The sequence below is a fragment of the Homo sapiens genome, chromosome X, assembly GCF_000001405.40.
Source record: "Homo sapiens chromosome X, GRCh38.p14 Primary Assembly".
Classification (NCBI taxonomy): domain Eukaryota; kingdom Metazoa; phylum Chordata; class Mammalia; order Primates; family Hominidae; genus Homo; species Homo sapiens.
In genome coordinates, this window is record NC_000023.11 from 134,960,248 (window position 1) to 134,982,706 (window position 22,459).

General features: G+C 43.4%; 1 pseudogene, besides 2 other annotated features; it reads right to left on the reverse strand.

The window, feature by feature from the left end:
- Positions 266 to 1,067: an enhancer, noted in NCBI's record as "NANOG-H3K27ac-H3K4me1 hESC enhancer chrX:134094543-134095344 (GRCh37/hg19 assembly coordinates)". NCBI's record gives its function as "activates a minimal SCP1, AML or CMV promoter by ChIP-STARR-seq in naive H9 embryonic stem cells {active_cell/tissue: H9 hESC(naive)}" and the evidence as "EXISTENCE:reporter gene assay evidence [ECO:0000049][PMID:30033119]".
- HMGB3P31 (high mobility group box 3 pseudogene 31) lies at positions 1,404 to 2,108 on the reverse strand (annotated as a pseudogene).
- Positions 21,685 to 22,137: a transcriptional cis regulatory region, noted in NCBI's record as "candidate enhancer chrX.2259 targeted for multiplex CRISPR interference". NCBI's record gives its function as "positively regulates SMIM10 gene expression with high confidence in K562 cells {active_cell/tissue: K562}" and the evidence as "EXISTENCE:mutant phenotype evidence [ECO:0000015][PMID:30612741]".

Below are 22,459 nucleotides of genomic sequence, written 5' to 3' on the forward strand. Positions count from 1 at the left end.
AAGTGAGGAGCGTCTCTGCCCGGCCGCCCATCGTCTGGGACGTGGGGAGCGCCTCTGCCCCGCCGCCCCGTCTGGGATGTGAGGAGCGCCTCTGCCCGGCCACGACCCCATCTGGGAGGTGAGGAGCGTCTCTGCCCGGCCGCCCCGTCTGAGAAGTGAGGAGACCCTCTGCCTGGCAGCCGCCCCGTCTGAGAAGTGAGGAGCCCCTCCGTCCGGCAGCCACCCCGTCTGGGAAGTGAGGAGCATCTCCGCCCGGCAGCCACACCGTCCGGGAGGGAGGTGGGGGGGTCAGCCCCCCGCCCGGCCAGCCGCCCCGTCCGGGAGGCAAGGGGCCCCTCTGCCCGGCCACCCCTACTGGGAAGTGAGGAGCCCCTCTGCCCGGCCACGACCCCGTCTGGGAGGTGTACCCAACAGCTCATTGAGAACGGGCCATGATGACAATGGCGGTTTTGTGGAATAGAAAGGGGGGAAAGGTGGGGAAAAGATTGAGAAATCGGATGGTTGCCGTGTCTGTGTAGAGAGAAGTAGACATGGGAGACTTTTCATTTTGTTCTGTACTAAGAAAAATTCTTCTGCCTTGGGATCCTGTTGATCTGTGACCTTACTCCCAACCCTGTGCTCTCTGAAACATGTGCTGTGTCCACTCAGGGTTAAATGGATTAAGGGCGGTGCAAGATGTGCTTTGTTAAACAGATGCTTGAAGGCAGCATGCTCGTTAAGAGTCATCACCACTCCCTGATCTTAAGTACCCAGGGACACAAACACTGCGGAAGGCCGCAGGGTCCTTTGCCTAGGAAAACCAGAGACCTTTGTTCACTTGTTTATCTGCTGACATTCCCTCCACTATTGTCCTATGACCCTGCCAAATACCCCTCTGCGAGAAACACCCAAGAATGATCAATTAAAAAAAAAAAAAGTTTGGAAATATGTACAACTTTGATACAGTTTCAGGGTGCTCTGGACACCCATGGCCACATCATGTAAACCACTGACAATCTCTAGAACACTTTGAGAGACTACAATATGATCGTGATCAAATTTTGCAGTTAAGCCTAATGAGGGCAACAGACACTTCTCAAATAAGAGATGTGTCCATTACTGCGCTCCACGCAGCGCCTGTAATCCTCCACTTTGGGAGGCTGAGGCGGGCAGATCACCTGAGGTCAGGAGTTCAAGACCAGCCTGGCCAATGTGGTGAAACCCCGTCTCTACTAAAAATACAAAAATTAGCCAGGCATGGTGGCTCATGCTCGTAATCCCCAGCTACTCGGGAGGCTGAGGCAGGAGAATTGCTTGAACCTGGGAGGCAGAGGTTGCAGTGAGCTGAGATTGTGCCACTGCATTCCAGCTTGGGTGAAAGAGTGAGACTCCGTCTCAAAAATAAAACAAAAACAAAAACAAAAAATTATGGCACTCCCCTACTCTAAGGTATTCACAAGGAGACAGATAAACAGTTTTTAAATTCATCCTCCTCGTCCTCCTCCTCCTCTTCTTCCTCCTCATCTTCTTCATCTTCCTCTTCCACCTTTATCTGGGCAACTTCAGCAGGACTCTTTGCGCCATCAAACTTTCCTTTCGACTTATACTCAGCAACATCCTTCTCATACTCCTCCTTCAGTTTTGCCGCCTTAGTGATGTAAGGCTGCTTTTCACTGTCATTTAAGTTATTCTACATCTCACCAGCTTTTTTGCCACGTCTCCAATAGAGATGCCAGGGTTTGTGGATTTTATCTTGGGGTGGAATTCTGAACAGAACAGGAAGAATTCAGATGGTGGCCTTTTGAAGGTATTAGAATCCTTCTTCTTCTTGCCTCCTTTAGCTGGTCCATAATCCTTCATTTCCCGATCATAGCGTACTTTATCCACCTTTGCCAGTTTATCAAATTTAGACTTTTCTTTCCTGGACATTGTCTTCCACCTCCTGGAGCACTTCTTGGAAAATTCTGCAAAATTGACAGGGACCTCTTGGTATTTCTTCTTACGTTCTTCTCTGCACGTCTGCACAAAGAAGGCATAGGCAGACATCTTGCCATTTGGTTTCTTGGGGTCACCTTTAGCCATCCTGACTGTATTGTTCACTAGTCTGGGCAGCGCAGGGCATGACACGCAGCTCTGCGCTCCCCAGCCTCACGCTAGCTGCCTCCAGGAGAGCTGCCTCCTCCTTCCTTTCTTTCTTTTCTTTCCTTTCCTTCCTTTCCTTCTCTCTCTCTCTTTCTTTTCTTTTTTCAGAGTCTCTCACTTGTCGTCCTGGCTTGAGTGCAGTGGTGCAATCTCAGCTCACCGCAACCTCCGCCTCCTGGATTCAAGCGATTCTCCTGCCTCAGCCTTCTGAATAGCTGGGACTACAGGTGTGTGCCACCACGCCTGGCTAATTTTTGTATTTTAGTAAAGACAGGGTTTCACCATGTTGGTCAGCTTGGTTTCGAACTCCTGACCTCATGATCCGGCCACCTCTGCCTCCCAAAGTTCTGGGATTACAGGCATGAGCCTCCACGTCCGGCCCTCCTGTATATATTTCTTTATTGGCTCAGATTCCGTAGGGAAGGTGATTAATTAGCACTCTTGATCCCCTTCCCTATTATGTACATAGCTTTCCATTGAAGAGGATCCCATTACACCACACACACACACACACACACACACACACACACACACACACACCCCTTTACCTTAAGGACCTATACCTATAGGGTATAGTCCACAACTCTTTATCTGAGATTCACGTTCTTCTCAAACCTGCCTCTCCATACTTATCCCCTACTGTCTCCTGAAACAAACCCTTTGTTTCAGTCAGACCACTTCACCCAATTATATTCCAGACACTGGATCTCTGCTTAGCCATTTCCTCTCCCTGAGAAACTCTTCCCACTGTTCCCTGCCAGTCCAAATCCTACCATATTTCAAAGCCGAGGTCATCTTTCTCTGTGAAAACTCTCCTGGACATTCGTACACAGAGTAAATTTATTTATTACCTGTAGCATAAATTAGGATTAACTTTTCTCTTTCTTTGTCTATACATCCATTCTCCCCACAACTAGATTTGTGAGTCCCTGGAGAGCATGGGTCACATTTTCTCTCTTTGTTCCCTCAAAGCTTAGCATGAGTTAGAATCTCAACAAATATTTGTGGCTAGAATTTATCTTCTATTTCCCTATTTCAGACCACCAGTTTCCTGAGCTAGTGGTTTTAAGGATATGAAATTGCTCCTCAGCCACCATTAATAATAGCAATAGATTATCTTATAAAAATACTTTAATAGCTTCCATTTATTACACATTTACTCTGCCAGTCACCACACTTTACCTGGATTAACTCACAGACTCCTCATACCAACACTTTTAGAGATTCAGAATGCTTAGGTAATTTATTCAAGGTCCATCAGCCCATATGTGTAGAACAGAAACCTCTTCTTCTACAACAGAAAACAATAATCTTGACCGGGTGCCATAGCTCATGCCTGTAATCCCAGCACTTTGGGAGGCTGAGGCGGGCAGATCATGAGGTCAAGAGTTCGAGACCAGCCGGGCCAATATGGTGAAACCCCGTCTCTACTAAAAATACAAAAATTAGCCAGGAGTGGTGGTGGCACACCTGTAGTCCCAGCTACTCAGGAGGCTGAGGCAGAAGAATCGCTTGAACCCGTGAGGCGGAGGTTGCAGTGAGCCAAGATGGCACCATTGCACTCCAACCTGGGTGACAGAGTAACGCTCTGTCTTAAAAAAAAAAAAAATCTTATACAGATGTTTACTGTAGCCCTAGCAAGGGCAAATAAATCTCTGCCCTAAGCCTCTTGCTAAGTATCTGCATGGGTTATGACTTAGTAAAGTACCTACAGGAATTCCGTTAATGCTAAAATTCCTTTCTTAAGAACATTCACATAATGAATAGCAACACTCAGCATTCATTCATGAAGATTTAAAAACTAGTAGCAACACCATTCTTTAATCCAGTCCAATTTCACCAGTGCTATCAAAGCAATGCTAAGATTGTCTCTTAGCAATCTTAACTTGATTACCTCTTGAAAGGCCCTATCCCCAATACAGTCATATCCAGAGGTCCTGGGGGTTAGGACTTCAACATAGGAATTTTGGGAGGCAACAACTCAGCCCATTCCATAGCGGCCCATTATGGTGATTACTTCAATCTTGCCTAGGTCAGTTAAATATCATCATTTGGCTTCTGTATTCTGGAATTCTATAATCTGCATTGATACTGGGAGGCCCAGTTGCACCACAGCATCTCTTACTGTCTCTCTGGTCTGCAGAAGACAACCACTATTGATCTCAAAAAAGCTGTCGTGTCTGCTTACCAGTGCACTCCTGGTGAAGGAATGTCTTCTCAGCCTTCCCAGGGAACATGGTCAGGAGGTAGTTTGATATGGTTTGGATCCGTGGTCTAATGGATCTGGTCCCACTTTGTAACTTTGTATTAGGCCATTCTCGCATTGCTGTAAAGAGATACCTGAGACTGGGTAATTTACAAATAAAAGAGGTTTAATTGGCTCATGGTTCTGCAGGCTGTACAGGAAGCATGGCAACATCTACTTGGCCTCTGGGGAGGCTTCAGGAAGCTTACAATCATGGTGGAAGGCAAAGGGGGAGCAGGCACATCACATGCTCAGGGCAGGAGCAAGAGAGAGAGCGGGGTAGCGGGTGCTACACGCTTTTAAACAACCAGATCTTGCAAGAACTCACTCACTATCACGGGAACAGCATCAAGGGGGATGGTGCTAAACCATTCATGAGAAATCCACCACCATGATCCAATCACCTCCCACCCAGCCCACCTCCAACATTGGGGATTATAATTCATCACGAGATTTCGGTGGGGACACAGATCCAAACCATAGCAAACTCCATTCTCACATATCCACATACCTTGTATTTTGAGCTTTATGATACCTTCTCCAGTATCAGTTCTGGTATGCCCACTTCCTCCCCACTCCCCCATTCCCTAGCTTCAAGGAGCAATCCTAGCAGCATATTAGTACTGGCACCACGTGTCCTTGCCAGGCCATTAAACCCTGAGTCACAGGAGGGTGCTCCTGTGACAGTGAGTTCTCCCCATTCCAATCTCATCTTTCTCCCCTTTGTCAAACCTAACTATCCAGGCATCCTAAGGCAGGGACAGCTTGAGGCTGCTCCTCTAGGATATAACCACTTATCCTACCAAAGGACAAGTACATCTTCCAGAAAGTTCTGCCTTGGGACAAAAGCCTGCAGTGGTATCTGCTCTGCAATCTCAGAGGATGACATTCTTTTCTCAGACTAAATAAACGCAGTTTAATGAACAAGCCACTAGGGGGCAAAGCTGCTTTAGTTTAGTAAATTTAAATTGCTGCTTTTTTTTTTTTTTAAGACGGAGTCTCACTCTGTCGTCCAGGCTGGAGAGCAGTGGCGCGATCTCGGCTCACTGCAACCTCCGCCTACCGGGTTCAAACGATTCTCCTGCCTCAGCCTCCCGAGTAGCTGGGATTACAGGTACATGCCACCACGCCCGGCTATTTTTTGTATTTTTTGTAGAGACGCGGTCTCACTATGTTGCCTAGGCTGGTCTGGAACTCCCGGGCTGAAGCAATTCTCCTGCCTGGACCTCCCAAAGTGCTGGGATAACAGGAATGAGCCACTGAGCCCGGCCCGAATTGCTTCTTTCTTATTACAAAAGTATGGGCCGGGCGTAGTGGCTCACGCCTGTAATCCCAGCACTTTGGGAGACCGAGGAGGGCGGATCACCTGAGATTGGGAGTTCGAGACCAGCCTGACCAACATGGAGAAATCCTGTCTCTACTAAAAATACAAAATTAGCTGGGCGTGGTGGTGGATGGCTGTAATCCCAGCTACTCAGGAGGCTGAGTCAGGAGAATCGCTTGAACCTGGGAGGCAGAGGTTGTGGTGAGCCGAGATTGCGCCATTGCACTCCAGCCTGGGCAACAAGAGCGAAACTCCATCTCAAAACAACAACAACAACACTAGCTGGGCGTGGTGGCGTGCACCTGTAGTCTCAGCCACTCAGGAGGCTGAGGCAGGAGAGAATCGCTTGAACCCGAGAGGTGGATGTTGCAGTGAGCTGAGATGGCGCCACTGCACTCCCGCCTGGCCACAGAGCAAGACTCTGTCTCCAAAAAAAAAAAAAAAAAAATGTGGAATACAAGGAAAATAGAGATAAACTAATAAAAGAAGATAAAAATCACCTGATATCCCATACCTCAGATAACCACTCAGGACTTTATGGCATTTTGTTTACATTATTGTCCCCCTCCACCTAAATGTAAATAAAAAAAATTTAATGTGGTATTTCTCTACATATTATCTGGTTTCTACTTTATAATAAAATCTTGTTTACTTGTCTACTTTGATCTCTTCTTGGCTTTTTGTCTACTTTGATCTCTTCTTGGCTTTTTGACTAAGTGTAGTACTTGTCTACTTTGTAATAAAACTTTTCCAAGATTTTAAATATTCTTTCGTGGCATTTTCTTTTTTTCCTTTCTTTCTTTTTCTTTCTCTCTCTCTCTCTTTTTTTTTTTTTTTTTTTTGAGACAGAGTCTCACTCTGTCGCCCAGGCTGGAGAGCAGTGGCGCGATCTCGGCTCACTGCAAGCTCCGCCTCCCAGATTCACGCCATTCTCCTGCCTCAGCCTCCCGAGTAGCTGGTACTACAGCCGCCTGCCACCACACCCGGCTAATTTTTTTTTTTTTTGTATTTTTAGTAGAGATGGGGTTTCACTGTGTTAGCCAGGATGGGCTCAATCTCCTGACCTCGTGATCTGCCCACCTCGGCCTCCCAAAGCATTGGGATTACAGGCGTGAGCCACCATGCCGGGCCTCTTTCTTTCTTTTTATTTTATTATTATTTTTTGAGACAGACTCTCACTCTGTCACCCAGGCTGGAGTAGAATGGCACGATCTCGGCTCACTGCCACCTCCGCCTCCCGGGTTCAAGCGATTCTCCTGCCTCAGCCTCCTGAGTAGCTGGGATTACAGGTGCCCACCACCGCGCCCGGCTCATTTTTGTATTTTTAATGGAGATGAGAGTTCACCATGTTGGTCAGGCTGGTCTCGAACTCCTGACCTCGTGATCCACCCGCCTTGGCCTCCCAAAGTGCTGGGATTACAGGTGTGAGCCACAGTGCCTGGCTGTGACATTATCTTTCTAATGTTTAATTATTATTAAAAACATGGACAGTATAATTTATCATGATTAAAATTTTTTGCACATCATTGATGAACTCCTTGGCTTAGCTTCTCAATAACTAAAAGAGGAATTGCTGGCTCAGAAGCAATGTAATCCTTTTAGGTTTGGGGCATGTATTGTCAAATTATTTTCCAGAAAGGGGGTGACAACTACAGTCTCGCTAGCATCCTGAGAGAATGCTGCTATGACTCTCTCATTGGCAACACTGCTCATATCTTTTGAAATTTTTGCCAATTTGACAGGTAACTTGTTGCATTGTGGTTGTTTTTAATTGTACCTCTTCAAAAATCAAATGTAAAAGAAATATTTATTGAGCATGGATTATTTGTCATGCACTGTGCTAATCCCTGGGAATCCAGGAGGGAGTAATGCAGATATTGTTCTTGCTATCTTTAATCTCACATTCTAGAAAGATGAGGGCATGCCAGAAACAAAGTAAACTGATACACAAGTAGTTATGGATTGGAGGAAGCGTCATAGAGGAAAGAAACAGGGTAGTATACTACAGATAGTAAGGGACATGCTCATTGGCTTCTGATAATTTCAACAATTCTATCCTTTATGCTCATCAGCTACCATGTTTCTTCTTTTGTGAAACAGGGAGAAATAGAGGCCCGGGTAAAGGGAGGCTGATAGGAAGTTTGCTGCCATAAAGATGATATTTTACATTTAGTAAAGGGCACAGTCAACTCCTACACCATTCTCTCTGGGGTGGCAACTCTGAAATGCTGAGGTGGCCTTGGACTAGTAGGAGATCTGTTCCTTATCTCACCACACAAAAGCAGATACCAGAACAGCAGGCCCAGTATGGATGCATTCTTTCTTTCTCTCTCTCTCTCTCTCTCTCTCTCTGTCACACACACACACACACACACACACACACACACACACACACAGAGAGCATACACCAAGGTAAGTCATTGTTCCTGATGGGATTAGACAGAAATGATCACCCCAAGTCCCTGAGCAGAAGCCCTGAAACCCACTTCCATCCTTACATGAACCCATAGGTGGGAAGCTTCAAGCCTCAAAATAGGGGATTTTAAATGCAATGTGTATTCTTATTGTGGGAAATTTGTAAGAGTTGAGGATGGCCCACAGCCTCTAAAATACCTCCGTCAAAAGTCCTGTCACTGCTCTTCCTTGAATTCCTAAGTAGTCGAGAGATAAAGTGAGCTCTGGAGGGTTAATTACACCTTCTAGACAGAGCTTGTAACGTTAATTACGTTTAGGATTGCATCTGTCATTGTAGACTTGCATTGGGTCTGGAAGTGTTGACTGAGGAGAACATGCTTTTCACAGCTAATTTTTTTTTTTAATTGCTGCATAACAACTTCATAGCAACAACAAGGAAAATGCATGAGAGAAAAAATGACCCCAATCCCCCGGCATTAATGCATCAAGTGCAGTGCAATTATTTTTCCTCACCTCTTTTTATGTGGAACATGCCTTCTTTATGCCATTTGAATGACACAGTAGTTTCTAGAAGATCTATGTACTTGTTACTATTGGCGGTAGACCATGAGGCTTCAGTGGGGTATGACACCAACACCAGCCCACAAGACACAGCAGATGGGGTCTCCTGGGCCAAGATGAATAGAGCTGCCTCTCGTGGGATGTGAGGTCCAAGGTGTGGTTCAGGAAGGGCAGAGCCTGGGCAAACCACCTTGTGTATCCTTACCTGCCTCTCGGCCCGGTCTACTTGCTAATGCTCTTATACAATGGAGTTATGGTGAGTGTGAACACACAAGAGAGTTTGACAAGGAGCCAGAATTCAGAAAATGGCAATGGGCAGCTTGGAAGATGTGTGTTGGAGAGGGCACAGACCCACCTCTGCACCCTGCTTCCCTGAGGGTGGCTTGTAGACTGCTCATTTGAACGTGGGGTTCAGTAGCTTTTCTCTGCCTCCTGGAAAACAGTCCCTGACCAGCTGCCAGCAATGCAGTGCCCTAGGGAGCCAGGGCCTAGAGCAATTGATCCTGTGTATCAGATCCAGATGGTAACTCAGTGTTTACTAGGCAAGCTTTGCAGGTGGGCAGCGGGATGGGGAGGTGCGGGACCTGCCTGGCCTCACCTATTGCTCAGTAGTTCTGGTTGTGGTATGGTTCACAGGCCTCTATATGTTTCATGCTTCCAGAAAAAATTAGACTTTCAGCCTTCTCCATATGGGTTTAAAGAGAATGAGAGTGAAAGCTTCAAAACCTTCTTGAATAGTCTCAGAACTCCCAAAATGTTTCTTCTACCACATTCCATAGGTTGAAGCAAGTCACAGGCCAGCCTAGATTCATGGGGATGGAGAAACAGACTCTATCTCTTGAAGGAAGGAGTGGCAAAGTCACAGTGCAAAGGGCTGAGCATCCAGGGAAGGGAGAAACTTCTGTGGCCTTTATTGCAATCAGTCTACCAGTCTACTTGGAATCAGTATTTTACCACTTCAAGTGCCAGAGAATTGTTCTGGAGTACTAAGCCATGTAAGGACTCACCACTCCTTCTCTATCCATTTTAAATGACATCCAGATGTTTCCCTCTGGCAATGGTTGCTTGTCATGCTTAGTAACTGATTCTCATGGTTAAATGGTAAGTCTGAGAAACAGGCCATGAGAAACATGGGCTGGGAATTGAGCAGTACCATTAGTTGTACATAAATATGTTCATTAGCGTTCTTGCTTTCAGACAACATAATGCACTCTTAACTAGTTTAAATTAGCAGACACTTATTACAGGGTATTAGGTATAATACAGAATCTGTGGAACAACTGATGGAACAAACTGGAGGCTGGACTTTTTGGGCCAACTCTGATGGAGTTGCCAGGGAGAGCTCACAACCATGCTTCATCTGCTACTACCACAGGAAGCTGCTGCTATGAGCCTCGCTCCCAGAATCTGAGTCTGCTGCTGCACACCAAGAAAGTGGATGCCCCTGTGGCCTGCCTCTGTCCATATTTAACTTACCTTCAAATCAAAGCCTAGCACACTTGCATCTGATTGGTAGAACCTAAGTCATAGGTCTACACCTTAGTGGCAAGAGAAGCTGGGATAGGCACCGAGTTTTTTGGGAGAGGGACGGGTACACACAGTTCTATGAATTTTAACAATCAGATTACAAAAATTTCTATTACCTCCCCCAAAAGATTCTCTTTCATAATCCATTCATAGTCACACCCTCCCCCAACTACTACACTCTAGCAACTTACTGACATTCTCTCTAATACTCTAGTTTTGTCCTTTTAAGAAGGCCATATAGGGCCGGACATGGTGGCTCACGCCTGTAATCCCAGCACCTTGGGAGGCTGAGGTGGGAGGATCACTTGAGGTCAGGAGTTCAAGACCAACCTGGCCAACATGGCGAAACCCCATCTCTACTAAAAATACAAAAAAAAAAAAAAAAAAAAAAAAGGCCAGGTGCCGTGGCTCATGCCTGTAATCCCTGCACTTTGGGAGGCTGAGGTGGGCGGATCACCTGAGGTCAGGAGTTCGAGACCAGCCTGGCCAACATGATGCAATGCCGTCTCTACTAAAAATACAAAAAATTAGCTGGGCATGGTGGTGCATACCTATAATCCCAGCTACTCAGGAGGCTAAGGCAGGAGAATCACTTGAACCTGGGAGGCGGAGGTTGCAGTGAGCCAAGACTGCACCACTGTACTCTAGCATGGGCAAGAAGAGCAAAACTTCATCTAAAAAAAAAATTCCCCCCCAAAAAAAAGCTGGGTGTGGTGGCATGTGCCTGCAGTCTTAGCTACTTGGGAGGCTGAGGCTGAAGAATTGCTTGAACTGAGAGGCAGAGGTTGCAGTGAGCCAAGATCATGCCACTGCACTCCAGCCCAGGTGACAAAGCAAGACCCCATCTCACACACACACACACACAAAAAGCTTTATAAATGGAATAATATAGTATGCAATCTTTTGAGACTGGCTTCTTTCACTCAACATAATGCCTTTGAGGCTCATTTAAGTTGTCAAGTATATCAAGAGTTCATTCCTTTGTATTGCTGAATAGTATTCCATTTTATAGATATACCAGTGCTTGTTTATCCATTCACAGGTCAAATGATATTTGGGTTGCTTCTCGTTTTTAGCAATTATGAATTGAGATGCTATACATATTCATGTACAGGTTTTTGTGTGAACATAAATTTTCAATTCATTAAGTAAATACCTAGGAGTGAGATTGCTGGGTCATGTATGGTATATGCATGTTTAACTCTATAAGAAAGTGCCAAACTTTTTTCCAGAGTGGCTGTACCATTTTGTGTTCCCACCAGCAATATATGACAGTTCTGGTTGTTCTACATTTTTGCCAGCATTTGGAATTGTTTTAAATTTTAGTCGTTCTAATAAGTGTGTAGTGGAATGTAATAGTGGGTTGGAATTTGCATTTTCCTAATGGAATGATGCTAAACATGTTTTCATGTGCTTATTTTTCATCTGTATATTCTCTTTGGTGAAGCATTTGTTCAATCCTTTTGCTCACTTTTAAACTGGGTTATTCTTTTAGTGTGTTTTGAGTGTCCCTTGTATATTCTGGATAGAAGTGCTTTGTTAGATATGTGATTTGCAGTATTTTTCCCTGATCTGTATCTGTTGGGAGAGGCAATTCACCATGGGCCATGTGTATCCCTGCACATTCTTTCTGCGTAAGGCTCCAACCACTCTTTACCCTGGCCATTTATCAGGGTTGTGTTAGCTGTGAACAATCTTGAGGAGTGAGTTGTCTCACCACAGGCAATGAACGGGCTTGCTTCTGCTTGTTATAAAAGCAGTGAATCTCCCAAGCTCAGTGTTCTTCTATAACACAGGCCCATTGCATATGCAGGCACCCATCATGGGCCCTTCACATCACCCCCACGGGATTGAGGTGCATGGAGACTGGCACAAGCATCATACAAACTCTGGCTATTTCTTTTACAGTGAATAGTAAAGTCCCTTGTCACTGATTCTGTAGTCTCATGTTTTCTGCCAGCATCCATGAAACAGTAACAGGCTAACTTGTCAATTTGTAAGTAGGATAAAATCTTAGATTCTGCACAGTGCTTGATAGTTTTGGCAATATGGATGGAATACTGATAGAGACATAGATTTCTGGAAGAGAAAGAATGAATGCCCACACATGCCAGGTTAGGGGATATAAGAAGACTTCCTGGGACCCAGTAGTGACTTCTTTTGCCCAAATGGTGGGGAAGTGAGAAGGAGTAGGAATCACTGCTATCCTACCTGATATGGTTTGGATCTGTGTCTGCACCCAAATCTCGTGTTGAAATGTAATCCCTGATGCTGGAGATGGGTCTGCTGGGTGGTGATTGGATCATGGTGGTAGTTTCTCATGAATGGTTCAGCACCATCCCCCTAGTGCTGTTTTCATGATAGAGTTCTTACGAGAACTGGTTGTTTAGAACTGTGTAGCACTTCCCCGCTCTCTCTCTTCCTCCTGCTCCAGGCATTTAAGACATGCCTGCTTCCCTTTCACCTTCTGCCATAATTGTAGGTTTCCTGAGGCCTCCCCAGAAGCTGAGCAGATGGCAGCATCATGCGGAACCACGAGTCAGTTAAACCCCTTTTTAAAATAAATTACCCAGGCTGGGTGCAGTGGCTCACACCTGCAATCCTAGCACTTTGGGAGGCCAAAGTGTGCGGATTACCTGAGGTCAGGAGTTTGAGACCAGCCTGGCCAACATATAGTGAAACCCTATCTCTACTAAAAATACAAAAATTAGCTGGGCATGGTGGCACACGCCTGTAGTCCCAGCTACTTGGGAAGCTAGTGCAGAAGAATCGCTTGAACCCAGGAGGCGGAGGTTGCAGTGAGCTGAGATCATGCCACTGCACTCCAGCCTGGGCAACAGAGCAAGACTCTGTCTCTCAAAAATAAATACATAAATAAATTACCCAGTCTCAGCTATTTCCTTGTAACAGGGCAAGAACGCGCTAATACACTACATGCATTAGTCCGTTTTCACGCTGCTGATAAAGATACCTGAGACTGGGCAATTTACAAAAGAAGGAGGTTTATTGGACTTACAGTTGTACATGGCTGGGGAGGCCTCACAATCATGGCAGATGGTGAAAGGCATGTCTCACATGCCAGCGGCAAGAGACAGAATGAGAGCCAAGGAAACGGGTTTCCTTGTATAAAACCATCAGATCTCATGAGACTTATTCACTATCATGAGGACAGTATGGGGAAAACTGTCTCCATGATTCAATTATTTCCCACTGGGTCCCTCCCACAACAAGTGGGAATTATGGGAGTACAATTCAAGATGAGATTTGGGTGGGGACATAGAGCCAAACCGTATCACTATTACCTGATCATGAACGTTAGAAACTAAATGAGAATAAGTAAGACTGAAACAAGCCACCTCGTTGGTACCTTATTCCTTGATCCCTCTCCTCCAGGTGGGCAGAGGAAGGGATATTATCATGACAATGGGAACAGTAAGCCTAGGAGCCCTAGTTAGAAAAGAATATGGCTATGGCTGCTGAGTCAAGGGGTTAGCTAAGCTGAAAGAAAGTCAGAAATGAGAATGTAGAGCTTTAGGTAGGTGGGAAACATTGGAAGTTTATTTGGTGAGCCTGAGTGGGCAACCACTCCAAACTGCAAGTAAACGAAAAGCCTTGCTTACTGGGGCAGAGCTGCTCTCTCCCTCGACACACCCTGCTGCCTCTCTCTTCCTCTACTCTGATTTTTTTTTCTTTTTCTTTTTCTTTTTTTTTCTTTTGAGATGGAGTCTCACTCTCACCCAGGCTGGAGTGCAGTGGTGTGATCTCAGCTCACTGCAACCTCCACCTCCCAAGTTCAAGCGATTCTCCCACTTCAGCTTCCCAAGTATCTGGGATTACAGTCTCCCACCACCATGCCCGGCTAATTTTTGTATTTTTAGTAGAGACGGGATTTCACTATGTTGGCCAGGCTGGTCTCGAACTCCTGACTTCAGGTGATCCACCCGCCTCAGCCTCCCAAAGTGCTGGGATTACAGGTGTGAGCCACTGTGCCCGGCCACCCTATTCTGATTTCATGTGCTTTAAAGAACAACAACAAAAAAAGAGTATGCAGAGGAACGAGGTTGTGGGATAGGGTGGAACTCAAACATGTATGGGTTGGTTGGAAACAGGCATCTAAGTCATCATCCTACCCAGTCCTATGGCAGGAGAGGGCACTGGGCACAGAGGTAGCCATTGGCATTGAGGTATCCAGGGTAGAGCTGTGGCATGTGAGGAGGCAGAAAATAAGTGTCCCTGAGGAGGTGGCACCCATCCTGAGGCTAGGAGCCTCCCTGATGGCTCCAGCCACTCCTCATGGGCTGCACTCTTCCCTCTTCCCATTCCCCCTCCCATAGTTGGAACTCCTGGACAGGAGATAAACTCCTGGCAGCTGCTTTTGTAACTCCCGAAGTGCAAGTGTTAAACTCCTTTGTCTGTGTTCCCACAGGGAACAAAAAAATCTGAACTCAACTGATAAGGTGTGAGCAAAACTCTCAGTGAAGAAAAGCAGTTAAAGTGACTTTATGGGTGAGAGCCTCTATGCTAATTCAATCTACCGTTATTAAAACATAGGAGGAAATTGATATGATAAATGCTTATACTAGAAATGTTCATAAAGCGTCAGAGGAAATTCTCCCATTTAGGGCACTGACACAAGCAGAGAAGTACTACTGGGACAAACTCCCCTGCCATTTGCCACCATGGGGGTGGAGTGGGGGTCAGCATTTATTGTGAGTGCCTTTATTCTCTGATGTCCAGAGCTTTCACTGTATAGATTATGTCCTGGTGGTTGGCAAGTTGGAATTCTCCAAATTAACGGCCCTGACTGCACTGTTATTACACTTCCACTCAATGGGCAGAATTCAAGGCTGCTCTCATAAGTCTGACCAATACTGCCCTTGATAACACTTGTTATATTTTTACTGACGTGCGACTGTTGCTAATGGTCTAGACTTTTGTCTTTCAAAGACAGTAGAAAGACTACAGACTGGTAGACTAAAGACACCTCTCTTTGGAATCGTAACTGTAGAAACAAATTGTGGATGCTGATGGGACAATGTGGGTCACTCATAGAGATGCACAAAGTAAGGGCCTGCTTTCTGATGAGATCAACTAAATTCAAGCTGACGATCAAATCTACACTGCCCAGACTGCCATCACACATGGCAACACATCTGGTATCAGGGACTGGGCACAGAGTAAAGGACCTGATGTTTCTGATGCAGAAGCCACTACAACATGCCAGACTTATGACTCTTGCCAAAAGTTGACCTGTTTTTCTTGCAACAAAAGAGGCCACATTGCTTGGGGGCATTGACCCCTATTGGCTTCTGACAGATTGGCTACATCAGAGTGACTACTACATTGACTGTCTCCCTTAGTGCTACCAATGTTCTCTTCACTTTTAATAATGTTTCAGTTTACATGTTGCTGTTCCAGTGTAATCAGCCAACTCCAACAACACCATTGAGGCTCCTGAGTCTTAGCTATGTTATGTTTTCAGCTTTCCAACCTATTTTCAGTCTGACAATGGTGCAACCTTTTTTTTTTTCTCAAATGTCACCCAGTAATGAGCCGATAGTCAAAGTACTTGATGAACATTCCACACTCCTTACCATCCACTGGTATCTGGTATTGCTGAGTGATGGAACAATGTCTGATCCTACTTCTACTTGGCCCACACAGAGTAGTAGGACAATTTAGTCACTGAATGTGGATGTCCCCAAAAAGTGACCTCTTGGCTGCCTTCTGTGCAAGGATCAGAATACAAGATTGGGAGGCAAGTGGGGAGTGAGTGGGGAAAAGGTGAAGCTATAGGTACTCGGATGGGACATACTGATTATGTGGCAGTGGAGGGAAAGTGCCGACCCTGGTACTTTGGGAGAGAACACCTTAGATATTGGGAGATGCAAGGATCAGGGGCAAGGCAATTAATGTTCTCTTTGTCCTCTAGATCCAGCACTGATTGTCACCTGAGCCAAGCAGCAGCTGTGCTGGCAATCTGACCTGCTGCTGAATTTGTAATTTCCTTCTATGTGCTATGAAAACAGAAAAACTTATGTGGATATGACTGATCTGGAACTATTTTGTTATGCCTGATGCCATCAATGACAGCTCTGTAAAGTGAATATGTACGGACACATGATCCAGTGCAAGAGCGTTTCACTGTAATGCAAAGTTATATGTTTCTTTCTCTCTTTTTTTTTTTTTGTTTTTTTTGAGATGGAGTCTTGCTCTGTTGCCCAGGCTGGAGTGCAGTGGCACGATCTCGGCTCACTGCAAGCTCCACCTCCCAGGTTCATACTTTTCTCCTGCCTCAGCCTCCCGAGTAGCTGGGCCTACAGGCGCCTGCCACCATGCCTGGCTAATTTTTTGGTATTTTTTTAGTAGAGACGGGGTTTCACTGTGTTAGCCAGGGTGGTCTCAATCTCCTGACCTCATAATCTGCCCATCTTGGCCTCCCAATGTGCTGGGATTACAGGAGTGAGCCACTGCGCCTGGCCATATGTTTCTCTTGATAACTGAATGGCCTTGGGTTATACCATGTATGAAGATTGAGGCTATAAATACTTAGTGACACCACCCATGTGGCTTAATCAAACCAATGTAATGATGACAACAAATCCTGAACTGTGCCCCTTTGGATTATATGTTTATATGTGAGGGAGAGTGGGCCACAGAATGTCTCTCCATTGGTGATGGGGATTGCTTTTTGGCCCATCTCTTGCTCCTTATAATTATTGGCAATGACACCAAAGCTGATCAAGGGAGCCTAAACTCTGTATGTGAGTTGTAGTTGATAATAGACTAGCCTTAGATCACATTCTTACTGTTTGAAAGAAGACCCAGTGGTCCTCATGGGATTTCTTCAGAGTTAAATGAGACCAGGACTTTGCGAGGTGTGGATGGGGTCACTACAGCAAGGTGGCCTCATCCTGCAGCATGGAGTTCTGTTGAAAATGATTTATGAGATTAATTAAACAGATTTGGTCCCAGATTCTGTTGGTCAGATTAATCAGAGTGACGTATTCATGTATAATTCCATATTTGGCCAAGAATGTGTTGGACTGATGGGTGGCTTGTTGAGAGAGTCAATCCACCATGGGCTGTGGGTATACTTTCACATATTTTTGCTGATTATGACAAGATTGGAAGACCCCAGCTGCTCTCTACCTGGCCATTTCACAAGATTGTATTTGAATTACTGAAAACAGCCTTGAGGGATGAGATGATGTCTTCCCTCAGACAGAGAGGGTTTGTTTCCACTTGCTGTAACAGTAATGAATTCCCCAAGCTCACTGTTCATCCCCTATTATGTAGCCCACTCTGTGTCCCTATCCATGATAGGTCATTTGCTTCACCAACGTGAGACTTGGGGAGCACAGATAACCAGTGGGAACATGGGTAGCCAGTATGTGCATCATGCTGATGCCCTGGCTACTGCTTTTGCCATAAGTAATAAAGCCATTTGTCTCTGACTCAGGAGTCCCATGTCTTCTGCCAGTATCCACAAAACAGTAACAGGTTAACTGTTTGATAAGTAGGGGAAAATCTCATGCCTTGTATAATTCTCTACAATATCTTGTCTTTTCATTTTCTTAACAATGTCTTTTAAGAGCACAAGTTTTTAATTGTGATAAAGTTCAATTTATCAATTCTTTTATGGATTGTGCTTTTGTGTCTTACCTAATAATCCTTTGCCTAATCCCAGGTCCCACAGATTTCGTTTTGCCTGTGTTTTCTTCTTAGACTTTTGTAGCTTTATGTCTCACATTTAGATGTATAATCCAGTTTGGATTAATTTTTAAATAAAGTGTTATTTTAGGTCAAGGTTCAATGTTTCTTTTTCTTTTTGCCTATTGATGTTTCAATTATAGCAACACATCTGTTGAAAGGCTATCCTTCTCCATTCAATTGCTTTTCCATCTTTGTAAAAAACCAATTAGCCATATAAGTGCAGGTCTATTTCTGGACTCATTATTCTGTTCCATTGATATGTTTGTTTATCTCTTCTTTAATACCATACTGTTTGATTACTATGACATTATATACATGATAATTTAAAAAGTGAAACAAATTAAAATGCAGACATAAATCTTGATGGTATATTTCCATTACAGAATGTATTTGCTACAGTGTGGAATGAGAGTGTAATTCATATTCCATATTGTATATAGTATTACATACTGCATGCAAACATATAAACTAGTGAGTTTATTAAGTATTAAATAACGAGATGTGTAATCTTTTTGATGTGTTGTTGAATGGGGTTTACTAGTATTTTATTGAGGTTTTTTGCATCAATTTTCATTGGAAATAGTGGCTTGTAGTTTTCTTTTCTTGTTGTGTCTTTGTCTGGCTTTGGTACCAGGATGATACTGGCCTCATAAAATAAATTTGGAAGTATTCCATCCTAGTCCTTTTTTTTGGAAAAGTTTTTAAAAGGATTGATATTAATTCTCCTTTGAATGCTTGGTAGAATTCAGCCGTGAAGCCATCTGTTCCTGGGGTTTTCTTTGTTGGGATGTTTTAATAGCCACTTCAGTACCTTTATTTGTTACTGGTCTGTTCAGGCTTTCTATTTCTCCCTAAGTTAATTTTGGTAAGTTGTATGTTTCTAGGAATTCATCCATTTCCTCTAGATTATCCAATTTGTTGGCATATAGTTGTTCAAAATAGTCCCTTATGATACTTTTTAAAAAAAATTCTGAGGCATCCATTGTCACGTCTTCACTTTCTGATTTCATTTATTTGTGTGTCTTCTCTTTTCTTTCTTAGTCTAGGTAAAGGTTTGTCAATTTTATTTTTTCAAGAATTAGTTTTATTCATTTTTCTATAGCTTTATTATTCTCTATTTGATTTATCTCTGTTCTTATTTTTATTACTCCCTTCCTTCTGCTAACTTTGGGTTTAGTTTGTTCTTTTTCCTAGTTCCTTGAGGTGTAACATTAGGTAGTTTGAGATGTTTCTTCTTTTTTGATGTAGGTGTTTGTTGCTATATGCTTCCTTCTTAGAACTGCTGTTGCTGCATCCCATATGTTTTGGTATGCTGTGTTTCCACTTGTCTCAAGATATTTTTACATTTCCCTTTTGATTTTTATTTGACCCACTGGCTGCTCAAGAGCATGTTGTTTAATTTCCACACATTTGTGAATTTTCCTCCTGTTACTTATTTCTAGTTTCATATCATTGCAGTCAGAAAAGGCACTTGATATGATTTTGATCTTTAATTTTTTAATTTTTTTGAGATGGAGTCTCGCTCTATCGCCCAGGCTGGAGTGCAGTGGTGCGATCTCGGCTCACTGCAACCTCCACCTCCCGGGTTCAAGGGATTCTCCTGTCTCAGCCTCCTGAGTAGCTGGGATTACAGGCACCCGCCACCACGCCTGGCTAATTTTTGTATTTTTAGTAGAGACGGGGTTTCACCATGTTGGCCAGGCTGGTCTTGAACTCCTGACTTCAGGTGATCCACCCGCCTCGGCCTCCCAAACTTCTAGGATTACAGGCGTGAGCCACCGCGCCTGGCCTCATTATATCATTCTCATGTCTTTGTGTCCTGATAGCTTAGCTCCCACTTATAAGCGAGAACATATGATATTTTGTTTTCTATTCCTGAGTTACCGCACTTAGACGAATGACCTCCAACTCCATCCAAGTTGCTGAAAAAGACATTATTTCATTCCCTTTTATGTCTGAGTAGTATTCCATGGTGTATTATACCACATTTTCTTTATGTACTTGTTGGTTTATGGGCACATAGGTTGGTTCCATATCTTTGCAATTGCAAATTGTGCTGCTATAAACATGCGAGTGTATATGTCTTTTTCATAAAATTACTCTTTTCCTTTGGGTAGATATCCAGTAGTGGGATTGCTGGATTGAATGGTAGTTTTATTTTTAGTTCTTTAAGAAATCTCCATACTGTTTTCCACAGTTGTTGTACTAGTTTATATCCCACCAGCAGTGTAAAAGTGGTCCCTTTTCCCCCACATCCATGCCAACATCTATTGCTTTTGGACTTTTTAATTGTGGCCATTCTTGCAGGAGTAAGGTGGTATTTCATTGTGGTTTTAATTTGCATTTCCCTGATGATTAGTGATGTTGAGCATATTTTCATATGTTTGTTGGCTGTTTGGGTATCTTCTTTTGAGAAATGTCTATTCATGTCATTTGCCCACTTTTTGTTGGGATTGTTTTTTTCTTGCTGATTTGCTTGGGTACCTTATAGATTCTGAGTACTAGCTCTTCTTCAGATGCATAGTTTGTGAATATTTTTTCCCACTCTGTGGGTTGTCTGTCTGATCTGTTGATTATTTCTTTTGTTGTGCAGAAGCTTTTTAGTTTAATTAGGTCCCATGTATTTATTTTTGTTTTTGTTGCATTTGCTTTTGGGGTCTTAGTCATGAATTCTTTCCCTAAGCCAATGTTCAGAAGAGTTTTTCTGATGTTATCTTCTAACATTTTTATGGTTTCAGGTCTTAGATTTCAGCATTTGATCTATCTTGAGTTGATTTTCGTATAAAGTGAGAGATGGGGAACCAGTTTCATTCTTCTACATATGGCTAGTGAGTTTCCCAGCATCATTTATTTAATAGGGTGCCCTCTCCCCATTTATGTTTTTGTATACTTTGTCAAAGATCAGTTGGCTGAAGTAATTGGCTTTATTTCTGGGTTCTCTATTCTGTTCCATTGGTCTACATCCCTATTTTTATATCAGTATTGTTTTGATAATTATAGCCTTGTACTATAATTTGAAGTCTGGTAATGTGATGTCTCCAGATTTATTTGTTTTGCTTAGTATTGCTTTGGCTACGCAGGCTCCTTTTTGGTTCCATATAAATTTTAGGATTGTTTTTTCTAGTTATGTGAAGAATGATGATGGTATTTTCATGGAAATTGCATTGAATCTGTAGATTGCTCTGGGCAGTACGGTCATTTTCACAATATTGATTCTTCCCATCCATGAGCAAGGGATATGTTCCTATTTGTTTGTGTCATCTGTGATTTCTTTTAAAGAGTGTTTTAATGACATTTGGGAAAATTGGTTTGGATAAGCTGTGAATACATTATTATTTTTCCCATTTAAATTAATGAAATATAGGCCACTGCTATCCAAACAATTTGATATCCAACACATTTTTAGCAACAGATTACATTTAAATAACCATAGGTACCTATACACTCTTTTTCCATACTTAAAGTTATAAATAATAACAACAGCAATAATAACATGCTGCCACCTAACATAGTTCAACTATGCCTTGTAGAAGACACATCATACTCAACTTCTCTCCAAAAGATGCCCAAAGTCTCATAAGTCTCATAAGTTATTAAATCCAGCTCTAAATTCAGGATTGTTGAACAATGTTTATTCCTCTTTAGGTCATCAAAATCTTGTACTGATACTCTGTAATTTATAGACTGGATTATGAAGTTTAACTACCATCAATCAAAGTATCTTATATAAAGTGGCAGGGTGAAGAAAATGTCCTACACACACACACACACACACACACACATGCACACACACACGCAGACACAATAAGGAAAAAAAAATATGAACAGCTACTTCCACCTTGTTTCTGAAAGTAGTCACAAGGACATAGTTGGTAGTTATGTAACTTCTTTCTTCAACTACCGATTCCATTTTCCCTTGCCTTCTTCCAGTTTCTTAGCTATCTTATTCTCTTTGCCTGGTGGGCTGAGATAAAGCTTCATTACTGAGAGGCTTGAGCCCTTGTGGTCTCAAGGGCTCTAATCTTTTATTAACATTTACCATTGAACATGACAGTATTAGGAGGAGTTCCAGAGTCTCATAGTTTTACCTGCCTGCCCTATGTAAGACCAACCAATTAACCCCTTGATGACCAGGATCAATCACACCGATCAAACCTATATTTTGCCTGTTGGTCCAGTGACAAAAATAGCTCAAAATAAGTAGGTTGAAGTCTTAACATCCAATCCAATGGAATGATTGTTTTTTCTACTGGTAGATGTTATCCTTCCTTAATCAGATCTCTAAATCAGCAGAGGACAAAATCAAGGGGACAGGAAGAAAATATTTGAAAACGGATGTTAAATAGGCAATATACCATTCTAGATGATGAAGAATAAGGTACAACTAGTGTGAATTCTGTTTAGGCCTTTCTTACCTCCTATTGCTATAAAATGAGTTCTTTATTCATAAGCAGTATGGTATGAAATATCATAATTGTGAATACGCCCATGAAAGTGTTGCTGGTTGAAGTGTTGCAGTCAAGGAAAGCAAATTGATACTGCAGTCCCCT